Source organism: Homo sapiens, chromosome 1 (assembly GCF_000001405.40).
Source record: "Homo sapiens chromosome 1, GRCh38.p14 Primary Assembly".
Taxonomy (NCBI): Eukaryota; Metazoa; Chordata; class Mammalia; order Primates; family Hominidae; genus Homo; species Homo sapiens.
In genome coordinates this window covers 113,682,114-113,698,072 of record NC_000001.11, presented here as the reverse complement: position 1 = coordinate 113,698,072, position 15,959 = coordinate 113,682,114, and the positions used below count along the sequence as shown (strand labels likewise).

The window sequence follows — 15,959 nt, the reverse complement described above, 5'->3', positions numbered from 1 at the left end:
TCATTTTACACAAATATAACAGACAGTGCTCTTGAATGGAACAAAAAAAATCAAGTTTGAATTTCATATCAGTTTAATAGCCTGAGCTGGGTAATGGTCTTACTCTGATCCTGGGGAATGTACAGATGTAGAATGAATGAAAACCAGTACATGAACTGCATTGTATTATTTTTGATCCTGGAAGTTTTAAATGTTTTTTCTCTATGATGTTCTATGGTTGCTATTGCCAGACTTGATACATTTTCTTCTTTTATAAAGGATTCTTAGTTTATAGTCATGTAAGTGTACCTATAAATCCCACCTGGTTTTCCTAGAACTAACTTATTTTGGTGATTTTGTTCTCTTAGCTGTGGAAAATTAAATCATAAGCTGAGTAAATGCCTGGACTCTCCCCTGGCTGGTATCAAAACTTACCTATCAAGGAAAGTGATGACTGCAGAAACCAGTGAGATACCCACCTGCTTGTTCACATGCACAGGTGCTCTCAGCTCTGCCAAAGCGAATGAATGGTGTTTCCGGAGGAGCAAGTCCTTTTCCAACTGGGTGTGCATGCTAAAAACCTGTATTTTCATGCTTTTCAAACAACATGAATAGTCAGCTGACTAAAGACTGTGTGTGTTGTGGTAACACAAAGACAATTTTGTAAGTTTGCGCTTCAGTACTGTGACAGTTATGTTTACTGGACATAGTCTTTTGGGCAACTATGATAGATGCCCAAAGCATGAAGCAAATATCTTTTATTGGAAATATGCAAATTCAATACTTTTCCATTATAGTCTATAGAACTGGAGATTTCATTTCTCTATCAAAGAGAGATCAAGCGAACTATTTTAGGTTAAATCCGAATAAAAGAACTTTACTGGAGACTTTCAGTTTCTAGGTTTTCTTTGTTGTTGAAGGAAGAAAATTAACTTTTAAACTGTGAGTTTCTGTTAAACTGTGGAGAAATGTTTTGTTCGTTTACGATTTTGGGTTAATAACTGTATAGTTGTTGGCAAACGATGCATGCATACAATATGCCATGTAATTCAGCATGAAAAATTTAAGTATATGCCTACTCATCCATTTCCATCATACAACATGGTTTCCACGTTCTATGTGGAAGCCATGGAAGCATTGTTTCCATATAGATCATCTGAGTTGTGGTTCCTAACACAGTGCTATGTGTCCTATCACAAGCATCATTGATAGTTTATCAGTTGTGCAACTTAATGTATTAAACCCTCCGTACATTTTCAGGTCCTCAGTGTCTATAATCGGCCATGCCATGCCTCTGATGATACAGGTTCTGTAATGCAGCATCCTGTTATACACATGCATATACATATGTTAATGAAAGCTCTAATAGTCTACTTATAATTCTTGCTCATTAAGTTACCTGCTTTGAAGAATCTCTCTTTTTTTTTTTTTTTTTTTTTTTTTTGAGGCAGAGTCTCACTTTGTTGCCCAGGCTAGAGTGCAGTGGCACCATCTTGGCTCACTGCAACCTCTGCCTCCTGGGTTCAAGTGATTCTCCTGCCTCAGCCTCCCGAGTAGCTGGGATTACAGGTGCCCGCCACCACACCTGGCTAATTTGCAAGAATCTCTTTGAGGCAAATTGAAAGCTTGAACATTTTAATGATAAGGTTTTGTGAAGTTTTAAATAAACATAATTTAGAAACTTGGTTATTACATGTAAAGCATGTATTCATTTAAAATCAGAGGATCAGTTGCACATTTTCTAATAAGCAGGAATATTTGTGAGGTTTAGAGGTGGATCTCTGAAGAGTCCAGGGATTGAGGTCAGACCTTTCTGGGTTCAAATCTTTGGCCCTGCCACATATTAGCTCTTTGTATATCAATTTTCTCACTTGTTAACCCATTTATGGGGATAATAACTACAAGTGGGGATAATAACTACATAATAAGGTTGTTAAGATTAAATGAGGTTGTCATGTAAGGTACTTGCACAGTGTAAAGTATTTAGTACTCAGCAAATCTACAATAAATGTGTTACTACTATTTAAAGTCCTTAAAAAAAATCTCACTGATAATTCCTAACTGTGAAGATAGAAACATGGAAAGCAAGGTTGCTGAACTAGAAGTTGATTACCAAAAATATGCAGCCTTTTATACATGAGTTATAATTTTTTAAATGGCAAAACTCCATTATAGTGATAAACCTTTAGAAGGCAGTGTTCTGTAGAAGCACTTCAGCATCTCAACAGATGGTTCATAGAAACCATGCTTTTACTGTTTCCATAGGGAACAGTAGCAGTGATCTCAAATCCAAAATTGAGCTCACTGCAGATTTCAAATGAAAACTGATGCCTTCATCTTTTTCTTCTACAAAAATGCTGTTCTATTTTTATGTACAACTTTTACACAGTTAATTCTTAGTTTAAAAGCAGTGTTTAGAGTATATTAATTCAATTGTGTGGATTGCTTCAGTTGTGGTTTTGATGGTGTATATTGGTTTAAATTATTTTTCAGGTGGGTAAAATTATGTGTAAGTATAGTTAATCATATCAGAAACTTAGGAATGATTCTTGACTCATTTTTCTTCCTCATACCTCACATCCAATCAATCACTGAGTCTTTGAATAATTATCTTCTAGATATCTTTCTCATCAGTCCACTCTTCTTCCTCCCCACTGCCACTGCTCTTATTTAAGTCAGCATCCTTTGTTTTTTGAGCAAGTTTCTGCTATCTCTGCTCTTATGTATGCTTGATTCCTCTTTCCCCCACACCTAACCCACTCATCTCAAAAATGTAATATGTCTTTTCTGAAATGTAAGTCTCATCATTTAGAATCCATCAGTGGCTTACTAGCACTTTGAAGATAAAAATCCAAAATCCTTTTAGCAAGGTGTGTAGGCCTACCCTATTGAGAAAGATTTTAAATCTTTATGTTTGAAAGATACTTTTGCTGGGTATAAAATTCTAGGTTTAAAGATGTGGTTGTGCTGTTACCTCCTGGGTTGTTGCATTGTTTCTGACAAGAAGTCTACAGTCACTCTAATCTTTGCTCCTCTGTATGTTAAGTGTCTTTTTTCTTTCTTTTTTTTTTTAAAAACTCTGGCTACTTTTAAGATTTTTCTTTTTACCATTGAATTTGTGCAATTCAATTATAGGGTACATTGGTTTAGCTTTCTTCATGTGTTCTGTGCTTGGGGTTTGTTGAACTTACTGGATCTGTGGGTTTGTAATCATATTTTTTATATGTAGTTTTCTATTTTCACATACAGTTTGGAAAAATTTTTGCTATTCCTTAAAATAAATTTTCTATAGTCTACTCTTACTTCTTCCTTCTGGGACTCAAATTTACATGTATATTAGACTGCTTGAAGTTGTTCCTCAACTCATTGATGCTTTATATGTTTTTCCAACCTTTTCTTTGTTTTAATTTTGGATGGTTTCTTTTGCTGTGCCTTCAAGTTTGCTTTTTTTGCACTAATTTGCTATTGATCCCATCCTATACATTTTTCATCTCTAGAAGTTTGATTTTGGTCTTTTTTATATCTTCCATGTCTATCTTTAACATGAGTATTCTTTTCTCTACCTCATTTAACATAATACATTTATAATAGGAATAGTATATAAAGATATTAAAACAGTTATTGGGGTCATTTTCCCCCCTCATTTTGGGTCATTGTACTGCTGTTTTGCATGCCTGGTAATTTTTTATTGGCTATGAATTTTATGCTGTTGGTTTTTGTGTGTATGTGTGTATTCTTGGTAGTCTTTTAAATATTCTTGAGAGCTTTGTTTTGGAACACTGTAAAGTTATTGGAAACAGTCTGATTATTTCAAGGCTTGCTTTTAAGCTTTGCTAGGTGGGCAAGAGCAGCCTTTAGTTTTTCTCTATTTACTGAAGCAATATCCTTCTGAGTACTCTACCTGATGCTCTGTTCATTATGAGGTTTTTTCTTTGGCTGTAGTAGCATGAACTATTCCCAGACTTGTGTGAACTTTGGAATTTTTCTGCCTGCTTCTTGGAGGTTCTTAACCTGTTCTTGGGTATTCCCTCACATGCTTGTGCTGATCAATATTCAGCCAAAGACTTGAAAGGAGCCCTCTGCATGTCTCTGGAGCCCCTCCCTTTCTGTGCAGCTGCATTCTCTCTGGTACTCCTACCTAAAATTCTAGACCCCAGGCCTTCCCCAAATTCTCAATTCTGTCTCCTCAACTCAGCAAGACTGCTTGGTTCTTTTTGGATTCTCCCTTCTTGCACCACAGCCTAGAAACTGCCTCCTTGTAAAACTGCCTGTATGCAATAATCTTGGAGCAATCATGGGACTCACCTTGTTTAATTCTACTGTCCTGTGCTGCCTGGTGTCTATATCTAAAATCCATTTTTTTTCATATTTTTAAAATTGTTTTTCAGTTGTTTGTAAGTTGAAGAGTAAAACAACTCTTCCTTACCTTAGTAAATGAGTTTCTCCAATTGCTCAGGCTGAAAGCTCCATATCTAATCTACTACCATGTCATGCCAGTTCTACATTTCCACAGCTACTAGGTTAAACCTCCTTCACTCTCACTTGGACTACTGTGTGACCCACTGGTCTGTTTCCATTCTTGTCTCCTACAGTTGGTTTTTCATAGCCACATGAATGAGCCTCAAAATTTGGAAACTAACATTGTTCCTACTTAAACCTTTCCTAGCTTTCTCTTTGGTGGCTTCCAAGGCCCTTCATTATCATGCTTACCTTGCCTTCCAGCTTCACCTCCTTTACTTTACAGCCTCACTCCTTTACCTCACTACCACACTGACCTCCCTCTGCTCTTCTATTATTCCAGGTTCTTTCTCATATCAGGCTTGTGCAAGCTTGTTTCATCTGCCTGGAATATATTTTCTTAGGTTCATCTCTGGCTGGCTGCTGCTTATCTCTCAGCTGTCAGCTGTCAGTTCCTTAGAGGGCCTTCTCTGATGACCCTAGTTAAAGTAGTTACCCATTTTATCCATTATCAGTTATATCGCCTTATTGATTTCCTTCATGGCACTTACCACAATTTTATCGTGTTTATTTTTTGACTGTCTGTCGTTTCCTTTCCCGCTACAGTGTAAGTCCCTTGAAGGCAGAGACTTCTTCTTGTCCCCAGAACATATAATAGGTGTTCAATAAAAATGTGTTGAATGAAGAATAGACCTCAAGTAATTTACCATTTGTGTAGTTTTTTTTTCTGTTAGGATAGAAGGGTCATACATTTGATTCTTGAGCAATGCAGGGGTTAGGGGCACTATCCTCCTTTCCTGTAAAAAATTCATGTGTAACTCTGATGCCCCCAAAACTTAATAGCTTACAGTTGACTGGGAGTCTTGCCAGTAACACAAACAATCAACACATTTTGTATGTTATTTGTATTATATACTGTATTCTTAAAGTGAGCTAGACAAAAGACAAATGTTATAAAGAAAATCCTAAGAAAGAGAAAGCATATTTTCCATTCATTAAGGAGAAGTGGATCATCATAAAAGTCTTCCTCTTTGTCATCTTCACATTGAGTAGACTGAGGAGGAAGAGGAGCGGTTGGTCTTGCTGAGTCAGGGGTGGCACAGGTGGAAGGGGAAGCACAAGAGGCAGTCACACTTGATCTAACTTTACAGAAATACATTGTAATTGGACTTTTTGCTTTTTTCATTTCTCTAAAAATGTTTCTATATGGTACCAATCGTTCTTCTACTGTTTGCTTTAGTTTCAGTGTCCATATCATAGAAGAGTCCATGTTGTAAAAGAAGTCAAAAGCAGCCTTGAATAATTGGAACCCTTCTGCCAGATTGTCTTACATCATCTTGTTCTTTGGCATTGCTTCTAAGTTTTCTTCCTCATCATCTTGCACTGATTTGGAAGCACTCGTCTCCATCAACAAGTCATCTGTTAATTCCTATGGTGTGGGGTTTATTAGCTCCTGAATTTCTCTTGAAACCCTTCACACCCCACTTTTTTTGCCACATCCACAATCTCTTTCATGATTTCCTTGATTGACTCTTTTGTAAATCCTATGAAGTTATGCACAACATCTGCACAGGTTTCTCCAGCCAGAATTTATTGTTTTGGGCTTGTTGGCTTTCACAGCTTTTTCTGTAACAATGATGGCATTTTCAGTGGCATGGCATAATCATTCCTTCCAGACTTTCATAATGTTCTCTCTTGGGGTTCTCTTTCACAGTATTGACAGTCCTTTCCAGAGTACTGTGTGTAATGGATCTAAAAAGTCCTTATGACCCCCTTATTCCTGAATTAAAGATGTTGTGTTTGGGAGCACAGAGACCACTTCATCGCTTTGGTGTTGAATTTATGGGGTTTTAGGTGGCCAGGGGCATTGTCCAGTATCAAAAGAACTTTCAAAGGTAGTGTCTTACTAGCAAGGTACTTCCTGACTTTAGGGACAAAGCATTGACAGAACCAATCCAGAAAAAGGGTTCTCATTGTCTAGGACTTCTTGGTATACAACCAAAAGACTGTCAGCTGGTGTTTTTTTTTCTTCTTCTTCTTCAAGGCTTGGGGGTTAGCAGGTTTACAGATATGTGTAGTCCTGATCGTAAACACAACTGCATTTGCACAGTATTAGCTTATCCTTTCCTGCCTAAATCATGGTGCTTGCTTCTCTTTCTAATAAATTTCCTTTGTGGCATTATTTCCCAGAATAGGCACTTTCTTCTGCATTAAAAACCTGTTAAGGCAGATATCTTTTCTTCTCAGTTATCTTCTGAATGGCATCTGTGAACTCGTCTGCTGCTTCTTCATCAGCAAATCTACTTTCCTTTTGCTTTGTCATATAACTTTGCTTTTTCTTGAATCACATTGGAATCTATAGATATGCCTTAGAGCACTCCCATACCCACATGAAGCTGCATTTTAAATGCAAGTTAAAAGCTATTTCACAAAAAGTGCAAGGTTTTCATGCCTGGTGGCATAACTGCAGCAAAAGCTTCATGAGTTTTTCTTTTCTTTCCTCCCTCCCTCCCTCCCTCCCTCCCTCCCTCCCTCCCTCCCTTCCTTCCGTCCTTCTTTCTTCTCTTTCCTTCTTTCTTTTACAATGGTCCTTATGCTGGACTCATTTATCTTGAAATGGTGGGCAACCACAGACCCCAATCTATGGTATCAAGCAACTCAACTTTTTCTTGTAATGTCATGACTCTTCTGTGCTTCTTGGGAGCACTTCTATGACTGGTGGTGCTTCATATGGGTCCTGCAGTTTTTATGTCCTCAAGGTTTACAGTATTGCACTAACCATGAAAAATATGCAAGAACCGCAAGGGATCACTTTTTACTGTGATCCACGGTTTATGGAGAGATGAACTGCTCACACAGAGATGATTAGCATCACATGGTGTTTTAAACAGATCTTTTGACACTTGAGTTCACCACAATAGCAACAGGAGGTAACTACAAAATAATTATAGTAGCTCAGTATGTACTACAGTTAATTTTATGCAGTTATGATTTAATACTGTATCTTTGTTTACATTTCTCTCAACCGTGAATGGTGCCATGTACAGTTTGTTTGTATGTTTTTATAAATTTTAACTTTTTATAATAGATTTGTGTGTATTTTATAGTAAATGATAAAATAGGCTAGTATCTATATAACTTTTTAATTTTTCTATATTTCTAGGCTACATGGTTTGTTTTTTCAAATTGCCACAAATCTCAAAAAAATTTTCCAATATACTTACAGAAAAAGGCCTGTATATAAGTGGACCCACACCATTCAAACCCATGTTGTTCAAGGATCAACTGTAATTTCATGGTTCTCCCACCTTCAGTGCCTCATTTATCCCTGTATAATAATTTCTAGGAACTTGGGCTTTTGTTTTGATTTCAAAAAAGGAATGAGATTTTGGTGATAATTACTTGTTACTGAGAAATTAAACCAAGATGTAAAAACAATTAGATTAGGCCATTCATACATTTAGTTGGAATAGTAATAACCATAGAAGGGTAAGAAAAATACCTGTTGACTTAATTTTATAATCTGCAGTTATATTGGGAAAAATTATCTCTCCTAAAGTTGCTGTGGGTGTATAATATACCACAGGGGTCCCCAGCCACCCACACCCACGCTGAACAGCAGGAGGTGAGCTGCAGGTGAGAGTGAAGCTTCATCTGTATTTACAGCTGCTCACACTGCTTGCATTACTGCCTGAGCTCCACCTCTGTCAGGTCACCTCTGTCAGGTCAGCAGCAGCATTGGATTCTTAGAGGAGCGTGAACCCTGTTGTGGACTGTGCATGCGAGGATCTAGGTCGTGTGCTCCTTATGAGAATCTAATGCCTGATGATCTGTCACTGTCTCCCGTCACTTCCAGATGGGACGTCTAGTTGCAAGAAAACAAGCTTGGGGCTCCCACTGATTCTACATTATGGTGAGTTGTATAATTATTTCATTATATATTACAATGAAATAATAAAGTGCACAGTAAATGTAATGCACTTGAATCATCCTGAAACCACCCCCTCCCTGCATCCCTTCTCCCTGCCCCCAGGTCCGTGGAAAAATTGCCTTCCATGAAATCAGTCTCTGGTGCCAAAAAGGTTGGGGACTGCTGATCTACAGACTTTCTAAATATGTACAATATGGCCCATGTATAATATAAACACTTTGAGAAGTTGAATAACCAAATACTTGCCTCATTGGAGTATGGTTCTGACTTTCAGAGACAGGTAGAAAAATTCTAAATACCAGGATGTCTCACAAAGTATAGTTTGTTTTTATTTTAGGTTCATTTTATTTAGAGGCAAGTGGACCTATGCAGTTTAAAAATAATCTTTCAAATTAATGAAATTTATGTGTGAAAACTTTTAGATCTACACACTCATAATAGGCTAGATGAGTCTCTCTTCCAAATACAGTGTGTCACTTGGGAGTTAATTCATTAAACCTAATCTATTCATGTACTGGCTAGTTTAGTAATCCTTTGCTCCCTGCTGTTATTGGGGCCCATGTTGAATAGTGAAGTGTGAGTTTCACAAATGTGCAATAATTCTATACCTTTCCTGCAGCATATCCTGAGCCTATAAGGTATAATAGGGTATTACTCTAGTTAATAAATGGTTGTCTTTTATTTTTCTATTTTTTTTTTTTTTAATTTTTTTGAGATGGAGTCTCGCTCTGTCACCCAAGCTGGAGTGCAGTGGTGCGATCTTGGCTCATTGCAACTTCTGCCTCCCAGGTTCAAGTAATTCCCCTGCCTCAGCCTCTTGAGTAGCTGGGACTACAGGCGCGTGCAACCACGCCTGGCTAATTTTTTGTATTTTCAGTAGATACGGGATTTCACTGTGTTAGCCAGGATGGTCTCGATCTCCTGACCTCGTGATCCACCTGCCTCGGCCTCCCAAAGTGTTGGGAATACACGCGTGAGCCACTGTGCCCAGCCGATTATCTTTTATTAAGGACAAAATATGTCTCTTGATTTGTGTATTTGCTAATAGTTAGGCTTGACTTGAATGCAGTATTGCAAAATACCCACAGGATTATTTGTCAAGATATAGGTTTAGGCTAAATTAAAGCTCTTGGCTATGTTTTCCTATTTTAATGTATACATAAGAAAGATTCAGAGTTTTCTATTAAATAGAATTTTTTTTTTTTTTTTTTGAGACAGTTCTTGCTCTGTCGCCAGGCTGGAGTGCAGTGGCATGATCTCAGCTCCCTGCAACCTCCGCCTCCTAGGTTCAAGCGATTCCCCTGCCTCAGCCTCCCAAGTAGCTGAGATTATAGGCATGCGCCACCACACCCAGCTATTTTTTTGTATTTTAGTAGAAATGGGTTTCACCATGTTGGCTAAGATGGTCTTGATCTCCTGACCTCCTGATCCACCTGCCTTGGCCTCCCAAAGTGCTGGAATTACAGGCGTGAGTCACCGCGCCCAGCCAGAATTCTAACTCCTTATAAGCCTTCATACTCCCTTATTATACTACTTAAAAAAAAATTTTTTTTTTTTTGGCTGGGCACAGTGGCTCACACCTGTAACCCCTGCACTTTGGGAAGCTGAGGTGGGCAGATCACCTGAGATCAGGGGTTTGAGACCAGCCTGGCCAACATGGTGAAACCCCATCTCTACCAAGAAGTACAAAAATTAGCTGGGTGTGGTAGTGTGCGCCTGTAGTCCTAGCTACTGGGGAGGCTGAGGTGGGAGAACTGCTTGAACCCAGGAGGCAGAGGTTGCAGTGAGCCAAGATCGTGCCACTGCACTCCAGCCTGGGTGGCAGAGTGAGACCCCATCTCAAGGGGAAAAAAAAGAAAAAGATTTATTTTTGAGATGGGGGTCTCACTGTGTCATCCAGGCTGGACTCAAACTCCTGGGCACAAGTGATCCTCCCAGCTCAGCCTCCTGAGTAGTTTGGACTACAGGTGTCTACTACCATGCCTGGCTTTATAATTCTTAAGGCTACTTGCCTAGCAATGTTGAAAAAATATCCAACTTAGTTGATATATTAAGTTAATTCAGCTAGCTAAAAGCAAAGATTATAGATTCCATGTAATAATGACATGCTTTAAACAAGTCATATTCCCGATAAACTCTAATAGAACCAGAAAAGAGCCACCCGAATAAATAAATGTTATTGTTTCAAAGCACAAATAGTTTTTAGGCCTTGGAGCATGCCATGATGATGTAAAAACTTGCTCTGATGTATTCCTCATACCAGACTGAAATGTCACATTTTGTAACAAGTTTATTTATATCAATGTTCCTTAGCTCCACTGTGGACTAAGCTTCAACTTAAATACAGCTTTCTGGAAGTCATTAGTGAGACTGTTTGTTTTATACAGTTTAATCTGAATACTCCTTGCCTTATAAATCCTTACTCTTTGAATGGTGGACATATTAAACATAAAATAATTCTTTGTCTACATGTTTAAAAGCATTTGGTTTTACTTCTACATGATTACATTTATTTCTCTTTTAAATCTTGCTATTAAAAAGGGAAGTAACAAGGTATTCTCATGTAGAATAAAAAGCCAAGTGCCTTTCTGGATCCAAGACTTCTGAAATAAGAGTTGTTCCTGTTCAAAAGCTGCCTGGTCCAAGACTGATGTAACTAAAGACAATATCATAGGATCTTAGCCTTCTAATCTCACTAGGGAGACAATGTAATAATATCTCAAAGCTTTTCTCCCTGTTGTGACCAGTAAGAAAATATGTTCACTAAAACAACAAAACGATTTTACTGCCTGTTTGTTTCTGCAGCCTCTGCTATGGCACATCTTCACTGTGGGGTCTGGGAACTAACTAGAAGTTTGGGTATACTTTTTTTTTTTTTTTGAGATGGAGTCTCATCATCTGTCAGCCAGACTGGAGTGCAGTGGTGTGATGTCAGCTCACTGCAACCTCCGCCTCCCGGGTTCAAGCGATTCTCCTGTCTCAGCCTCCTGAGTAGCTGGGATTACAGGCACCTGCCGCCATGCCTGGCTAATTTTTGTATTTTTAGTAGAGACAGACAGGGTTTCACCATGTTGGCCAGGCTGGTCTCGAACTTCTGACCTCAAATGATCTGCCTGCATTGGCCTCCCAAAGTGTTGGGATTACAGGCATGAGCCACTGTGCCCGACCGTGGGTTTATTTTTAGTATGCGTTCTTGCAATGGTAAGTGGGAATTTATATTTCACCTTAAAAGAGTATAAAATTAACCGTGGTCTTGAAGTAGGTTTTAGGCACTTTTCATACCGAGTTAAGTCAAAACATTCTAAAAGTAAGTATAAAACTAAATAAATAAATGATCTTTAAAGATAATGTGAATCATTAGTCTGATGAAATGGGATTTTGTGACCTTGTAGTAACTGGACTGATATTACTATATCCATTATAAATGTCTAGTAGCTGAATTTCCAATGAGAAACTCCTCTTCTCTCCCCAACAGTGTTAAGAAAGGATTTTCAGTAGCAAATTATTTATCCAAAGCTATTTTCTTTACAATGAAAGATGAAAAATGGTTATAATGATATTCAACTCTAAAGAATTTCAAACTCTATTTATAAATAAATAAAAGTATACCTATAGAGGTAAAATCATTATTATAAGACTCTTCCTGATTTTAGGACTTTGAAAGTTTGTTACTTGGAGGGACAAAATCTATTTGAGGACTCAGACTATGATGGGACCTAGCTCCACCATTAGAAAGCAACATTAAACCAATGTGACAGTAAAAGAAATGCAGGCCATAAACTGTTTTTTTTAAATATCTATATAAAAAATAATGAGCAATTTACAGATCTTTCTCTAATCAGAACCTCAAGTGTATATATAAAGGTACTGTACAATATATAAACATTTACAACCAGTACATCCACATTTTGCTCAGCATTCCAAGGCCACATTGCTAAGTCAGTATATAATCAGTACAGAGTTTACTTAGGAAGAACCACATAGGACAACATATGACATCAAAGTTATGTCACAGTTAACAAAAATAGGATTCGTTATCACTAATTGTGGACTACAGGGAAAATAATAAATAATTTCTGTGGTACTAAATTCTTAGTATTTATCAAGCCTCCTAATTTTGCTCTATTTGAATAGTTACAATAGGTGGGTAAATATAGTTCTGGATGAAAAGGGGATTTCAAAAATCTCACTCTGGGAAGCATGTCTTATCTACAGGGGCTAATTGAGTTGTTGGGTTAAAGAGTTTCACAGTCAGACTCCCAGAGGGAAGGACCTGGACCTAATGTGCTTCACAACAAGATGAACCCAGGTGACAGAACAAGTGTGTTCACACACTCCATAAAATAGTTTTATTCTCAGAAGGTGCCTTTATTTATATAGATGCTACTGAATGCTGCTTCAGGGAACTGAAAAACCTGGATCTATTTTATGGAAGTTGTTAACAGTCTCCAACTTCTAAGAAACATCTTTAACTAGACTTTTAAAAAGAATTCTGAAAATGTGTACAAGTTAAGCAGATGTTTAGTCTCCCTTTCTTGTTTTTAAATAAGAAAGTTAGTTAATGTAGCTAAAAGTTAAATAAGATCCAGTAAGTACTGTCTACACATTTGTCCTCATTTGCTGGGCATACCCTACACAGGTTGTTTTTAAACACCCAAGCTTGTGCACCTGCTACCAGAAGAGTTGGTACTTGGACTGTGAAACTGGTTTCATGATTAAGTCCCTCACATAATCTATATAATATGTTTACTTTTCAAATATGTATTATGTATTAAAGACTAATGACTTTAGTAGTAGGTACAGCCAAAATATCCAGAAATAGTTGGTGGTTTTTCTTCAAAGAGCAATAAACACTATTTCCACATGCTTCTTTATGGTTTCATAATTAAATAACTGAAATAAAAAGGGTGACCTGAGATGCTGTAAGTATACATCGAGGTTGGATAACACAGCAGGAGATGAACTCTATTGCTTAAAGTACTTTCTTATTTCAAACATTCAATTGTAAGTAATATCTTTAACAGTTATTTGAAACAACTTATCCAGCCAAATTAAAATAAAAAGCCATAAGAAAGCATCAATATTGGACTACATTTTTTTTTTCCTTAAAGTAGTGATGTTTGGGGGTTTTATTTTTAAAGTGGGACATCATCAGTAGCTGTTAGAAGAGACAACGGCCATCTTTAACGATGAGTTAACAGTCTCTTCTTCTGCAAGGACTCACATATTTCTCTCTGTAAACATGCAACATGCTATTGAGATCATCAACTTCCAAGCCAAACCTAACTTTTTCATTACTGTGGAAACAGCTGAACAAAAAGGATAAAAACAGACATGATACAGTAGATAACTTGGCACAAATACAAAGTGAGTTGTGACCACATTGTTAATATCAACATATGTCATTTGTTCAGACACTCATGAAGACGAGCTGGGCAGCCTGAGCAGGGCGGGTCAGATGAGCATGTGGATGCAGCTCCTTCCTGAGAGCGAGGGAGGGCAGCCGGCCAGGGGGACAGTTGGTTCTTAGCAATCCTAAAGGCCCTTCATGCAGCCTAGGTAACTTGAGGCTCACATTAACATGTACTTATCTGTTTCAGAATATCTGAAAAAAAAAAAAAGGCTTTTTCTGGAAAAATGCTGCTGTAAGAAAAGATTACAACTTGTTTTTCTTTGTTTTATACTAAAGGTTACTGCCGTTTCTCAGCCATACCAATAGTGCCTGTGACTTTATTTCCACTTGGAACCTTCCAGGGCCCTGGAGTTATCAGTGTTTTCTTAACTGGAGAACTGCTTTCCGGTTTGAACCTTCCAGTCTCTTTGTTTTTGTCAGCTGCCTCTAGTTCTTTCCCTTTGTGATCTTCTGTTTTGTTTGAAACTACCTTCTCTTCAGGTTCTTGCTTCAGCCTCTTTTCTGATAGCTGGACATTTTCTCCTATTTTATCGTTACTAGAACTTGTTTCTCCTGTGGTTACTTTCTTTCCTTTTTCATTTTCAGATACTTCTTTACTTGTAGTCTTATTAGTCATTTTGGATGGAAGAGATTTCTCAACCATTCTTTTGATTTTTTTCTCTGGAGACCTTGTTCTGCTTTTTTCCAACTGATTCTGCTTTGCATCTTTCCTGATGACGTCTGATTTTTCCTTCCCATCTGGGATCTGCTCAGCATTACTGCCCGTATAGCCTGCTATTCTTCGACTCTTACCCTCTAATAATTTGGCCTCAGCATTTGATGGAGCTTTGCTTCCTTCAATTTTTTGCTGCTTTTTTGGGCTGGCCGACCGACCTCTGCTTTTTCTGCACTGATCTTGTCCAGAGCCTGCCCTGGTGCTGACCTGACAACTTTTATTTTCCCCTTTGCTGGGGCTGAGGGATTGATCTCTGGGTCTTCTTTTGGGGTTATTTTTTAGAGGACTAGGAATCTTATCCAAATGTTCCTCTGAATGTTGACTGGCTGGCTTTTTGGGACTAACCGATCTACCTCTTCGTGTAACACCATTTTCTACTTTTAATAGATTTTTCTTGTTACTGTGCCCATGACTGCTGGGTGGATCCCTCTTACTCACATTTTTCTGGAGAAGAGACTGATGCTTTATCTCAGGCTGATTTTCATTTAAAGTGCTTTTCTTTTCAGGCACAATGTCCTTTAATTCTTCTGCCTTTTCACATATCTGAACTCTCAAAGATTCTTCAATTACTGGCACGTGAGACTCTTCAAATATGGAAGCAAAATGTGAAGATGGGGGTAATGGTGACTGTTCATCATAAATCACATTTGAAGACGAAGGATTATTAATATCCCAATCACCTAAAAAAGTGATTTGAATGGAACATTATTAAATTTTAGAATTACAAATAGGAACAATACGTTTTGAACTTTGACAGCCATTTGAATTGTCGTAACTGCTTAAAAAGCCTGAGTATTTTATACAGTTTGTATATGTTTACAACATATCTCTCTATAAAGGCGGATGTGTACAGACATCTGTTCATACATGAAGGATGGGTTGTTTATATACACAAAATAATATTCATTTTTTCCAATTACATATAATTAGTGAGATAATATATGATCTGTAAATTCTCTATTAGTAAAGCCCAATTAGAACTTACAAGTTATAAAGCTGAACCAAATTACGTGGCCCAAGAAGCTCACTAATTATTATGAATTGATACAGTTTAGGATATGGCAAAATCACTAATTAATAAAGGAAACCAAACTGTGGTAACCAGAATGAGGCTCATGGGCATTTGTAATAATTCTCTTGCATTAAGCTGTCAAATTTAATGTCAAAAGAAGACTGAAAAGTGCAGAAGATAGAAATAGATGTATTTAATAGCATCATTTTTAATTTAAAAGAAAACAAAAGAAGAAAGTGATTTACAAGACATGCAAATTTACCAAGTCTTTTTAAGGAAAGACCAAGAAAAGCCCTGAAAGCCTTAATGTTGCTCGGGTTTCACGTAGGAGCACAGACCGGAAGGAGCCAAACCTGAAGAGGGAAGAGAAAAAGCCTAGGACTATGTGAAAAAAAAAAAAAAAATCAGTGCAGTTAGCAAAGATGTCACTGGGAACATATGATTTACAAGC

General features: G+C 37.6%; 2 protein-coding genes across 15 annotated transcripts in view; one reads left to right on the top strand and one right to left on the bottom strand.

Moving 5' to 3' along the window:
* PHTF1 (putative homeodomain transcription factor 1) overlaps positions 1 to 1,242 on the top strand; it is a 63,058-nt gene extending 61,816 nt beyond the window's left edge. For all 11 annotated transcript variants that reach the window (NR_136565.2, NR_136567.2, NR_136566.2 and 8 more), the window contains one exon: positions 348 to 1,242. Coding sequence is in view for 7 of the 11 variants with exons in the window: in NM_001323042.2 (NP_001309971.1) it covers positions 348 to 368 (21 nt within the window). In the remaining 4 variants the exon portion in view is untranslated. The remainder of the gene's footprint in view (positions 1 to 347) is intronic.
* A 10,907-nt stretch (positions 1,243 to 12,149) lies between these two features.
* The window catches only part of MAGI3 (membrane associated guanylate kinase, WW and PDZ domain containing 3), a 295,409-nt gene continuing 291,599 nt past the window's right edge, over positions 12,150 to 15,959 (bottom strand). Inside the window, exons 21-22 of one of the 4 annotated variants that reach the window (XM_017000974.2) lie at positions 15,771 to 15,889; positions 12,150 to 15,176 (exon numbers count right to left, since the gene is read on the bottom strand). In XM_017000974.2, the coding sequence (XP_016856463.1) occupies positions 15,780 to 15,889 (110 nt within the window). In that variant the 3' untranslated portion in view covers positions 12,150 to 15,176; positions 15,771 to 15,779. Of the gene's footprint in view, positions 15,890 to 15,959 lie in introns of all 4 variants that reach the window. The other 3 variants (XM_005270737.4, NM_152900.3, NM_001142782.2) reach the window with 3 other exon arrangements.